We start from the raw sequence: 13,344 nt of genomic DNA, 5'->3' as shown, positions 1-13,344 counted from the left end.
CCTAAGGTAATTAAAAAGCCATTTCCTTTAAAGTCAAAAGATTTTAAAATGATTCATATACATATACATAGTCAAAGCCACACTAATAAAAATCCCCTTTCCTTTCTCTTTTCTTCCTTCCTAAAGCAACTCTGTGCGATTCATTTCAATCTCTATCTCCCACCAGAAAAACTCTCCTCTTCCAAACCCACCTCAACTTAGCCACTTTCCCAATATGGGATGATTAGTCTTTTTTTTTGTTTTGAGACAAGTGGTTCAATCACGGCCCATTGCAGCCTTGACCTCCTGGGCTCAAGTGATCCTCCCATCTCAGCCCCTCCAGTAGCTGGGACTACAGGCATGTGCCACCACCGCCAGCTAATTTTTGTATTTTTTGTAGAGACGAGGTTTGTTTCTCCATGTTACCCAGGTTGGTCTCGAACTCCTGAGCTCAAGGAATCCACTCGCCTTGGCCTTCCAAAGTGCTGGAGTTACAGGCATGAGCCATGGTGCCTGGCCCTGAATCAGTCTTAAGAAGGAGGTGAGATGGCGGAGAAATTATGGGGCTCTAGTGGGCCAGGGTGGGAGAAATCTGCCCAGCTTCTCCTTGACCATTTTTGTCCTATCACAAGGGGAGTGACCTAGGAGCCACCTAATACCAGCAGGTGGAGCAGCAAAACAGCCCTGAGTCAGCTGGACGCAGTGGCTCACGCCTGTAATCCCATCACTTTGGGAGGCAGAGGCAGGTTGATCAGGAGGTCAGGAGATCAAGACCATCCTGGCTAACATGGTGAAACCTCGCCTCTACTAAAAATACAAAAAATTAGCCGGGCATGGTGGCGGGCACCTGTAGTCCCAGCTACTTGGGAGGCTGAGGCAGGAGAATCACTTGAACCTGGGGGATGGAGGTTGCAGTGAGCCGAGATCGTGCCACTGCACTCCAGCCTGGGTGATAGAGCCAGACTCCGTCTCAAAAACAAACAAACAAACAAACGAAAATGGCCCTGAGTCTAAATGAACAGCAGGGGTTTTATTTAAGTGCTCCCCATCACCATCCCTCTGCCCTAAGAGCCTCCCTGTGAAAACCCGGAACTTCTGCTGAATAAGGAGGAACAGTCAAAGCAAGAGCCGTCTCCTCCTTCAATCATAGCCCTAGTAGTTTTTGTTTTGTTGTGTTTGTTTATTTGTTTGAGACAGAGTCTCACTTTGTCGCCCAGGCTCCATGCAGTGGCATGATCTCGGCTCACTGCAACCTCCACCTCCTGGGTTCAAGTGATTCTCCTGCCTCAGCCTCCTGAGTAGCTGGGACTACAGGTGCCCGCCACCATGCCCGGCTAATTTTTGTATTTTTAGTAGAGATGGGGTTTCATCATGTTGGCCAGGCTGGTCTTGAACTCCTGGCTTCAGGTAATGCGCCTGCCTCAACCTCCCAAAGTGCTGGGATTATAGGCGTGAGCCACCGTGCTCGGCCAACTTAGCAGTTTTATTGACTTATTTTAACAATAACCATGGATTTGTTTTCTTCAGTATATTATAAATTGGATACTAACATTTTGGGGAAAATCATTCTGAGGCTGTCAAGGACAGTAGCAAATTCTGGACATTCTACTTTAGATCTAATAAATATTCACATAAATTTAAACAACAATGAAGAACTATCAGCCGGGCGTGGTGGTTCACGCCTGTAATCCCAGAACTTTGGACCACAGAGGTGGGAGGATTGCTTGAGCCCAGGAGTTTGAGACCAGCCTGGGCAACTCAACGGGACATAGTCTCTAAAATAAATAAATAAATAAATAAATAAATTTAGTCAGTAGTGGTGGCAGGAAGCTGCAGTGAGCCATGATCATGGAGCCACTACACTCCAGCCTGAGCAACAGAGTGAGACCATCTCACTAAAAAAAAAAAAAAAAAAAAGATAAAGAAAATCAGGGCCAGGCGTGGTAGCTCATGCCTGTAATCCCAGCACTTTGGGAGGCCCAGGCAGGTGGATCACCCGAGGTCAGGAGTTTGAGACCAGCCTGGCCAACATGGCGAAACCCCGTCTCTACTAAAGAAGTACAAAAATTAGCCAGGTGTGGTGGCGGGCACCTGTAATCTCAGCTACTCAGCAGGCTGAGGCAGGAGAATCGCTTGAACCTAGGAGGCGGAAGTTGCAGTGAGCTGAGATTGCACCACTGCACTCCAGCCTGGGCGACAGAGCAAGACTCCATCTCAAAAAAAAAAAAAAAAAAATCAGACTGGGCGCAGATTGTCTCGTGTGTGTGTGTGTGTGTGTGTGTGTGTGTGTGTGTGTGTGTATTCTGGGGGTGCACTGCCCTCTGCTCTGGGTGTATATGTGTGATAAAATATGCATGACATAAAATTTACCATCTTAACCATTTTTTTTTGTAGGGGCGGGGTGTCTCACCATGTTACCAGGCTGGTCTTGACCACTCATGGCCTCAAGTGATCCTCTTGCCTTGGCCTCCCAAAGTGCTAGAATTACAGGTATGAACCACTGGGCCCAACCCATTTTAACCATTTTTCAATGTAACATTCACATTGTTGTGCAACCATCACCACCATCCATCTCCAGAATTCTTTCATCTTGCAAAACTGAAACTTTGTGTCCATTAAACAGTAACTTACCATTCCCCCTACCTCAGCCCCTGGCAACCACCATTCTTTCTGTCTCTATGAATTTGACTACTTTAAATACCTCCCATAAGTGGAATCATACAGTATTTGTCTTTTTGTGTCTGGCTTACTTCACTTAGCATAATGTCCTCCAGGTTCCTCCATCTGTAGCTGTGTCAGAATGTCCTTCCTTTTTCAGGCTGAATAATGTTCCACTGTATGGGTACACCACATTTTGTTCATCCATTCATCAGACGATGGACACTACTGTTGCTTCCACATTTCAGCTACTGCAAATAATGCTGCTAAGGACATGAATGTACAAGTATCTCTTCGAGACCCTGCTTTCATATTTTTTTTTTTTTGAGATAGAGTCTCGCTCTGTCGCCCAGGCTGGAGTGCAGTGGCACGATCTCAGCTCACTGCAACCTCCGCCTCCCGGGTTCATGCCATTCTCCTGCCTCAGCCTCCCGAGTAGCTGGGACTACAGGCGCCCGCCACAACGCCCGGCTAATTTTTTTGTATTTTTTTTAGTACAGACGGGGTTTCACCGTGTTAACCAGGATGGTCTCGATTTCCTGACCTCGTGATCTGCCTGCCTCGGCCTCCCAAAGTGCTGGGATTACAGGCGTGAGCCATCGCGCCTGGCCGAGACCCTGCTTTCATTTGAGCATAAACCCAGAATTGAGATTGCTGGGTCATTTGGTAGAGGGTCTCGTCTTTGTGGGGAGTGGCCTGGCTTCTGGACTAGAGGGTGTGAGGAGCTTCGATAGGAGCTTAGAGGGGATTCACTGTGTGACTGTGGGCAGGTCACTTTCCTCTCTGGAAACAGATCCTTATTTCTAAAACAGGTGCTCTTGTGGTTTTTGTTGTTGTTGTTTGGGTTTTGTTTTGTTTTTTTGAGACAGAGTCTCACTCTGTCGCCCAGGCTGGAGTGCAGTGGCACGATCTCAGCTTACGGCAAACTCCACCTGCTGGGTTCAAGCAATTGTCCTGCCTCGGCCTCCCGAATAGCTGGGATTACAGGCGCCCGCCACCATGCTCAGCTAATTTTTGTATTTTTAGTAGAGATGGGGTTTCATCATGTTGGCCAGGCTGGTCTCAAACTCCCGACCTCAAGTGATCCGCCTGCCTCGGCCTCCCACTGTTGGGATTACAGGTGTGAGCCACCACCCCCGGCCTTTAACTTTTTCTTTAAATTGAGACAGGCTCTCACTATGTGCTCAGGCTAATCTTGAACTCCTGGCCTCAAGTGATCCTCCCTCCTTGGCCTCCCAAAGTGCTGGGATCACAGGCGTGAGCCACCGCGCCCGGCCAGGTGCTCTTAACCACACACATTCTCAGGCCTCTTTTCCCAGGAGATTCTAATTCAATATCTGGCCTGTGGCCCAGGATATTTTTCTTCTTTTTTTTAAGAGCCTTGGATGATTTTTATCATCAGACAGGTTTAGGAACCGCGGGACTTGACGCTTTCCCTTGCAGCTCTGACTGCTGTTGACTCCGTGGTCAGGAAGCGGATGTGGAGTTCACATCCTAGTTGCCAGCACCACCTCAGTTTCTTCACCCGCTAAAGGAGGGCAGTGGCGCTACCACAGGACTGTGGCACGAAGTCAATGGAAATGAAAGAAAATATGTACCTAGTACTAAAACCAAACCAAACCAAAACCAAGTCCTGTAACATGCCTGGTATTCCCAGTTATCCTCACCTTCCGCGGGGCCGGTGTCCTCCCCGGTGGGTGTGTTCGTGTCGCCACCTGGTGGTAAGGCTAAGTCAGTGCACCCTCCCCGCCCTCCCACTCCAAGCCTGGGCTGGCCCCCGTCAGAAGCCTTAAGCTCCCGGAAGAGCTGAAAGCCCACGGTGGGAGGGCCTGGGGTTCGGGGGTCCCAACACATTCCACAGACCCATTCCAGCGATGATGAGTCGTTGCCTCCGCTCTGCCAGCCTAGTCTGTCCTGCCCCCTCCTTACTAGTAAAGATGGAGCCTACGTGCTAGAGTCCTTGCAGACACTGTCTCATTCCACCCTCACAACCCCTTTGTACGGTAGAGGGACTTACCCCTTTTTCACAGCTGAGGACATTGAGGCTCAGTGAAATTAAGTGACTGGCGCAGAGTCACACAGCTTGAAATGACGGAGCCAAGTCTCAAGCCCAGGTGGGTTTTAACCCACAACTATTTCCAATAAGCCACAAGGCCTCTACCCTGGTAGTTCCCCGCTTTGGCTGGACATTGAATTCACCTGGGGATCCTTGACGAATGCTGACGCCTGGGCCCTACACCAGGGGTTCTGATGAACCAGTCTAGGGCGCTGTAAGGCTCAGGAGGGATCCTGATGGGCAGCCAGAGTGACAGCCACTGCTCTGAACTCGCCCATTCTGTTTCGGGGCTCTTCCCTCTGCTCTGGGGGTGCTAGCCAAGTGTTTGGCTCCGGGGACTCACAAATATGCAGCTGCAGCAGAGGGCGTGCACCTCGGGACAGCCTCCAGCCTGCAGCAGGGGCTCTGATCCTCCTGCCCCTAGCGTGGGGTGGGGTGGCTCCAGAGCGGCTCTGGAGGGAGGCTTTGCTGGGTACTGACCTTCAGCAAGTGACTGCACATTTCCGTGAAGTTTCCTCCAATGTAAAACAGGTGTGAAAACTGTAAATCATGTAAAATTGTCGAGTTTTTTTTTTCTTTTTTTGTTTGAGTCAGGGTCTTGCTTTATTGACTAGACTGGAGTGCAGTGGTGTGATCGTAGCTCACTGCAGCCTTGAACTCCCGGCCTCAAGCAGTTCTCTTGCCTCAGCCTCCCAAAGTGCTGGGATTACAGGCGTGAGCCACCCTGCAGGGCCTAATTGTTGAGTATTAAACGAGCTAATACAGCAGATAAAGCACTTAGAGCAGTGCCTGGAACCCAGCAAGCTCTCAATGAATACAGCTACTGCTACTGCTAATAGTAGTATCACTACTCCATCAGTCGCACCCCGTTTGGACTACTCGCCAATTATCAAGAGAACTGCTCTTTTCTGTTCTAGAAAGATCACTGTCCCATAGGGAGGGGCTAGCCATCAAAGAGAGCGGGCACAGAGGCAGGCACAGGATCCAGCCGGTAATCCGAGTTTCCCACCACTGGACTCAACCGACTGAGCCAGGGTAAGCAAGCAGGGCAGTCAGGCCCCTCTTGGGGGGACTGGCATGGACACAGGAAAGGTGCACAGGCACCCCTCCTGTTAACACAGAGGGAAGTAGGGATGGGACGCAGAGGCTCAAGGACATCTTTTGAGTATTTCAGGGGCAGGGACTTTGGTCCATTCTGTTCACTGCTGTGAGTGGAGTGCCTAGAAGTGCCCTGCATACAGTAGGGGCTCAATGAATAGCTATTGAATGGACCTCACGCCGCACCACAACAGCCTGACCTGTCTCATTGTCTGTCCTCTGGCTCCGGCCCTCATCCATCTCTCCTATTGGTCTCTGCCTGACTGGACAGAAACAGATCTGCAGATCTGGTCCCCATTCACTTGCCCTGGGCATAGGAGCTGAGGACCAGGGGACTGCTGCTGCTTCTACCCCTGGGTCCTTGGGGGCTTGGAGGGTGGAGGCCCCTCTCTGGCTGAACTAAGACTGTGACTGTCCCACTGTGGGGGGCCCAGTGGACCACAGAGGGGTGCTGTACTGAGACAGAATTGGCCTCATGGGTGGAAAAGCTTCCCAAGCAGCTGTCCCTGTGCAGCATGATGGCTTCGGAAGACAGAGAGCAGCCTGTGCCTGGGCATGTGTGAGCAGAGGGAAGAACTGTGTCTACCCAGGGATTCCTGACTCTGCTGGGGCCAGCTCAGATTCACATGGATTCTGTGAAAAGCCATGGAGGCCCCCAGTAGCATCACTTGTCAGATTCCACTTTTTTTTTCTCGAGGTAAGGTTTTACTCCCATCGCCCAGGCTGGAGTGCAGTGGTGCCCTCTCAGCTCACTACGACCTCCACTTCCCAGGCTCAAGCGATCCTCCTGCCTCAGCCTCCCAAGTAACTCAGACTACAGGCATGCATCACCACTTCTGGCAAATTTTTGTATTTTTAGTAGAGATGGGGTTTCACCATGTTGGCCAGGCTGATCTCGAACTCCTGACCTCAAGTGATCCACCTGCCTCGGCTTCTCAAAGTGCTGGGATTACAGGTGTGAGCCACCACGCCCAGTCCAGATTCCACTTTCTTTTCTTCTTTTTTTTTTTTCTGAGAGAAGTCTCGCTCTTGTCCCCCAGGTTTGAGTGCAATGGCTTGATCTCGGCTCACTGCAACCTCCGCCTCCCTAGTTCAAACGATTCTCCTGCCTCTGCCTCCCAAGTAGCTGGGATTAAGGCGCCTGCCACTACGCCCGGCTAATTTTTGTATTTTTTAGTAGAGACGGGGTTTCGCCATGTTGGCCAGGCTGGTCTCGAACTTCTGACCTCAGGTGATCCGCCCGCCTCGGCCTCCCAAAGTGCTGGGATTACAGGCATGAGTCACTGTGCCCCGTCCAGATTTCTCTCTAGAGAAGACATGAGTGTTTTTGTTTCATTCTCTGTACATGCCCACCAGCAACTCTCATCTCCCAGGCTGTGAGCTCCATGAGGGCAAAGACTGGGCTTGCATTGCATTTCCAGCTCCTGCAGCCAGTGCCCAGCTGCCACCCAGGGCTTTGTCCAACCAACAATTGAGAAGCCCCTCTGCGGGCCAAAGTGGGGCTGTGCCCGGGCTCTGAGCTCAGAGAATCTGCCCGAATCCCACTCACTCACACTGCCCACCTGGGAGACCTGGACAGTGACTTAACCTCTCTGAGCCTCCAAGAAGCAAGGATAACACAAGAACCCTGGCACTGGACTCCTAGGGTTCACTGAGAGAAAATTCCTTTTAGAACAGACGGCCAGGGGCTATGTGATGTAACAACACAACCTGGACAAAACTTAAGCCTGTGTGAGCCTGATCAAAGCTCAGCCCTACTTTCTATTTCACAAGAGCCCAGACACACCCTCAGGTGACCGCAGTTCCCATTTCTGATGAGCCCACCTGCATGGATCCTTTTGAGATGCAAAATGTCTTTTGCCCGTTTGAGACACTGATGCCCAGGCTGGAGCCTCCAAGCAGGGGGAATGCTTGCCCAAGGCCACCCAGCAGAAACCTGGGGAAGCGGGACACTGGGTCTGTTTCTGGGCAAAACCACTCTCCTTTAACTTTCTCCAAAGTCGCCTCCTTTCACCTCTGTGCCAGGTAAGCTAAGCCCTGGAGGCCTGAGGTGGAGTTCCTTTAGGGACCTGGGCCTCCATTTCCTTACTGGTGAAATGAAGGTAAAACAGCACATAGCTGACATTTCATAGGATACTTGCTCTGTGGCCAGCACTGTGCTAAGCACTGCACGTTTCTATCTATTCAATTTTCACGGCAATTTCCATAAAGTCGATTCCAAGTGTCGTCACCACTTTATGGACTAGAAAAATAGAGGCACAGGGAGGTGAAGAAAAATGCCTGCTTGCCTTTTGAAGTTTCCGTAGGGACTAGAAATAACACAAGTAAAACCAAGCACATAGTAGGTGCTTGGTCAGTGGAATGGCTCCACTAAACACTGGCTGTGTGACCTTGGACAAGTTACTTAACTTCTCTGAGCCACAGATATGTGAGTGTGCTGTGAGGATGAATTGAGAACACTGGGCACACACCATGCCTGACATGTAGTAGAAGACATTATTGATCAGTGTCAGCATTGCTGGTGGTGGCAAATCTTCATCTTCTGAAAGTAGATTTAACTTTAGGAAACAGATAAAATTCATATGGGATTAAGTCTGGGAACTAACGCCAGTGATCAAGCTGAGTCTTTTTTTTTTTTTAAATAGAGACGGGGTCTTGCTATGTTGCCCAGGCTGACCTGGAACTCCTGGGCTCAAATAATCCTTCTGCTTTGGCCTCCCAAAGTGCTGTAATTACAGGTGTGCTCCACCACGCCCGGCCAGAAATGTCATTTTTAGGCCAAACAAGGTATAATTATAGAGCCTCAAGCCTGTTTTTCTGGAAGCCTGGAGTACCTATGTCAGATCAAAAGGTGCTAGAGGTTATCTCTGTTCCTGATCTTATCCCTAAACAGAAGTCTCATTTTAACTAAAATCTTGCCTCCTGTTCCTAAACACACCCCTGACCCAAATCTGGACACTTATACTGCCCCTAAGTTCCCTCCACATGCTCATCGGCTCATCAGTGTAGCTGCACCAAAACCTTGGAGTTTCTATTCTTTTTGTTGTTGTTGTTGTTTTTAGAGGGAGTTTTGCTCTTGTTGCCCAAGCTGGAATGCAATGGCACGACCTGGGCTCACTGCAACGTCTGCCTCCTGGGTTCAAGCAATTCTCCTGCCTCAGCCTCCCGAGTAGCTGGGATTACAGGCGCCCGCCACCACTCCCAGCTAATTTTTTGTATTTTTAGTAAAGACAGGGTTTCACCATGTTGGTCAGGCTGGTCTCGAACTCCTGACCTCAGGTGATCCACCCGCCTTGGCCTCCCAAAGTGCTGAGATTCCAGGCATGAGCCACGCGCCCGGCCTCTTGCTATGCTTTTCCCAGCTCCACTTTGGCACTTCCTGTTTCTGTCATGATCTCAACCTGTGCTTGTTCTCAAGGGCTGAAAACAAATGGAACTGCATCCAAAGTATGAAAAACTTGAATACATTCTCCCAAAAGTGATGAAAGTAAGACATTTTTAAATTAAAATTTTTACATGCATTCAAAAGTGAGTTTTCTTTTAATATATTCAAAATTTTGTATTAAGATTAAAAGGCAAAATATGGCTTATAGTTAATAAATATCAAAAATTTAATCAAATGGGTTTTTTGAAATTTTATTTTATTGTATTTTTTTGAGACAGTCTCGCTCTGTCACCCAGGCTGAAGTGCAGTGACGTGATCTCAGCTCACCGCAACCTCTGCCTCCTGGGTTCAAACGATTCTCCTGCTTCAGCCTCCCAAGGAGCTGGGATTACAGGCGCCTGCCACCACGCCCAGCTAATTTTTGTGTTGTTAGTAGAGATGGGGTTTCACCATGTTGGCTAGGCTGGTCTCGAACTCCTGACCTCAGGTGATCTGCCCGCCTTGGCCTCCCAAAGTGCTGGGATTATAGGCATGAGCCACCGTGCCCAGCTGGGTTTTTTGAAATTTTAATTCCATCTTATTAAATATTTTTAGAAAAACAAAACTGTTTGCAAAATAGCCTCCAATGTCCCTCTAGTTGTCAATATAAAGAATTGCTATCAGGCCAGGCAAGGTGGCTCACACCTGTAATCCCAGCACTTTGGGAGGCTGAAGCAGGAAATCCCCTGAGTCCATGAGTTCAAGACCAACCTGGACAACATGGAAAAACCCCGTCTTTAAAAAAAAAAATACAAAAATAAGCTGGGCATGGTGGCACACGCCTGTACTCCCAGCTACTTGGGAGGCTGAAGCGGGGAAGGATGGCTTGAGTCTGGCAAGTCAAGGCTACAGTAAGCTGTGATCAGGCCATTGCTCTCCAGCCTGGGTGACAGAGCAAGACCCTGTCTCAAAAAAAAAAAAAAAGTGCTATCATGCTTCACATATGTTGAGGTTACATATATACGAATTTAACAGTAATATGAATTGTTGAGTATTGTCAGATGCTTCTCAGCTGCCATGTACAACTGTTAGGAATAGCACACGAATACATGAGAACCTCCAGAACATGGAAAGAAGCAAGAAAATGGACACTTGTTATGCAAATATCCATCACACCCATGCAACCTGAGAGGAAAGTTCTGAGAAATGATTTTTTCTTTCGCCTAAGAGCTTCTGCAGCTCAAATCCTCCCCTCACTCCAAAGTAGTTTCCATCTCTGACGTCACTGCAGCTCAACCCACATATCTCTCCCAGATTTGGATGCAGGTACCTGTGTTTTCGTTCTACTTTTTTTCAGAGAGGATGTGGTGCTCTGTCACCCAGGCTGGAGTGCAGTGGTGCAATCACAGCTCACTGCAGCCTCGACCTCTTGGGCTCAAGCAATCCTCCTGCCTCAGTCTCCTGAGTAGCTGCACCAGCATGCGCCACCACACCCAGCTTTACCTGTAGTTTTGAGGACAGAAGGTGAGAAACTGGAGAAGTGTCCCTGGGGCCTGAGCTGTGTCAGAGGGTGGATGTTCTTACAGTCCTGCCAGGTCAGCACTGAGCCCCAGACCCCTCGTGAGACAGTTCTTAGTTCTTTCTTTTTTTTTTTTTTTTTTTTTTTTTTTGAGACGAAGTTTCATTCTTGCTGCCCAGGCTGGAGTGCAATGGCGCAATCTTGGCTCACTGCAACCTCCGCCTCCCGGATTCAAGGATTCTCCTGTCTCAGCCTCCCGCATAGCTGGGATTACAGGTGCCCACGACCACACCTGGCTGATTTTTGTATTTTTAGTGGAGACAGGGTTTCACCATGTTGGCCAGGCTGCTCTCGAACTCCTGACCTCAAGTGATCTGGCCACCTCGGCCTCCCAAAGTGCTGGGATTATAGGCGTGAGCCACCTTGCCCAACTGTGAGACAGTTCTTAGCAATGTATCTGTTTGGCATTTGCAAGTCTCAGGAGCCCTCTGAAGTGCAGGTCGCAGGCAGGACTACTCTTGTCCCGGTCCAGGGGGCAGTCCTGCTCCAGTGTGCCAAGTTCTTTGCTGCCTGAAAACAGTTTGCACATGCTGTGCCTTGTGCCTGGAACATTCTCTTTTCTAGCCTTCAAGATCCTTCAGGCTGGGTGCAGTGGCTCATGCCTGTAATCCCAACACTTTGGGAGGCTGAGGCAGGCGGATCACCTGAGGTCAGGAGTTTGAGACCAGCCTGGCCAAGGTGGTGAAACACCATCTCTACTAAAAATACAAAAATTAGCCAGGCATGGTGGCACACGCTTGTAATCCCAGCTACTTGGGAGGCTGAGGCAGGAGAGAATCACTTGAACCCAGGAGGCAGAGGTTGCAGTGAGCCAAGATCACGCCATTGCACTCCAGCCTGGGAGACAAGAGCAAAACTCCGTCTCAAAAAAAAAAAAATTCCTTCAGATTTCAGTTTAAAAATGCCTTCCTTGGCCAGGCACGGTGGCTCAGGCCTGTAATCCCAGCACTTTGGGAGGCCGAGGTGGGCGGATCACTAGAAGTCAGGAGTTCGAGACCAGCCTGGCCAACATGGTGAAACCCCATCCCTACCAAAACTACAAAAAAAAAAAAAAAAAAAAAATTAGCCAGGCGTGGTGGCGGGTGCCTGTAGTCCCAGCTACTCAGAAGGCTGAGGCGGGAGAATTGCTTGAATCTGGGAGGCGAAGGTTGCAGTGAGCTCAGATTGCACCACTGCACTCCAGCCTGGGTGACAAGAGTGAGACTCCATGTCAAAAAAAAAAAAAAAAATTCCTTCCTCAGGGCAGGGCATGGTAGCTCATGCCTGTAATCCCAGCACTTTGTGAGGCCAAGGCAGGCGGACCACTTGAGGTCAGGAGTTTGAGATCAGCCTGGCCAACATGGTGAAACCCCTTGTCTACTAAAAATACAAAACATAGCCAGGTGCCTGTAATCCCACCTACTCAGGAGGCTGAGACAGGAGAATTGCTTGACCCTGGGAGGCAGAGGTTGCAGTGAGCTGAGATCGTGCCATTGCACTCCAGCCTGAGTGACAGAACAAGACTCCATCTCAAAAAACAAAACAAAACAAAACGAAACCTTCCTTCCTCAGGCAGCCTTGCCTGTACTCTAAATCCAGACTGGAACCCACCTGCTGGTCTCGTGGAGCCCAGTTCCTTTCCTTCTTGGCATTTCTCACAACTAATAATAATGAGATCATTATCACTAATTTGGGTATTTATGTCTCTACTATCTGTCTCTCTCACAAGCATGTAAGCTGCACGAGGGCGGGGACCACATCATGTTGTTCATCTCTGTATGACCATTATTTAGCATAGCGCTTGGCACACAATAGGTGCTCAGGAAATACTTGTTGACTGACACTCAGCTGTCAGTTTCCTCACCTTTAATATCAGGGTGTTTTCGTTTGGTTGTTTGGTTGTTTGGTTTTGTTTTTGAGACAGGGTCTCACTCCATTGCCCAGGCTGGAGTGCTGTGGCACTGTCTTAGCTCACTGCAGCCTCTGCCTCCTGGGCTCAAGTCATCCTCCTGCCTCAGCCTCCCAAGTAGCTGGGACCTCAGGCATGTACCACATTGCTCAGCTAATTTTTAAATTTTTTGTAGAGACAAAGTCTCACTATGTTGCTCAGCCTGGTCTTGAGCTCCTGGGCTCAAGTGATCCTCCCAAAGTGCTGGGATTACAGGCATAAGCCACTGCTCCTTGCCCTAATATCAGGGTGTTAATGTCTGTCTCATAAATATTATTGTGAGGGTGGAGTCAGAATGGGAGCAAGCCACAGTAGGTGGACAATAAATGCTATTATTATTATATGGTCAGAGCCAACTGAGGACTGAGGCCTCTCCGAAGTGGCGACTTGAGGACTGTTTAGAGTTGGATAGGTTTCATGGAATAGGGAGGGCGTTCCGGGAGGGAACAGCCTGAGCAAAGGCATGGAGGACAGAACTGTAAAGGCAGTAAGGAAACCTCTGTGGCTGGATGAAGAGTATGGCTTGGGATAACCCTGTGGTTAGAAAGGCAGACTGGGGCCAGATCAGGGAGAGCCTTGAATGTCAACCCAACACATTTAAACTTAATCCTTAGGCAGTAGGGAGCCAATGAATGTTTTTGAACAAAGGTGGCAACCGAAGAAATAGTATTTTAGAAAGTTCC

Source organism: Homo sapiens, chromosome 6 (assembly GCF_000001405.40).
Source record: "Homo sapiens chromosome 6, GRCh38.p14 Primary Assembly".
Classification (NCBI taxonomy): Eukaryota; Metazoa; Chordata; class Mammalia; order Primates; family Hominidae; genus Homo; species Homo sapiens.
This window is presented reverse-complemented; position numbering follows the sequence as displayed.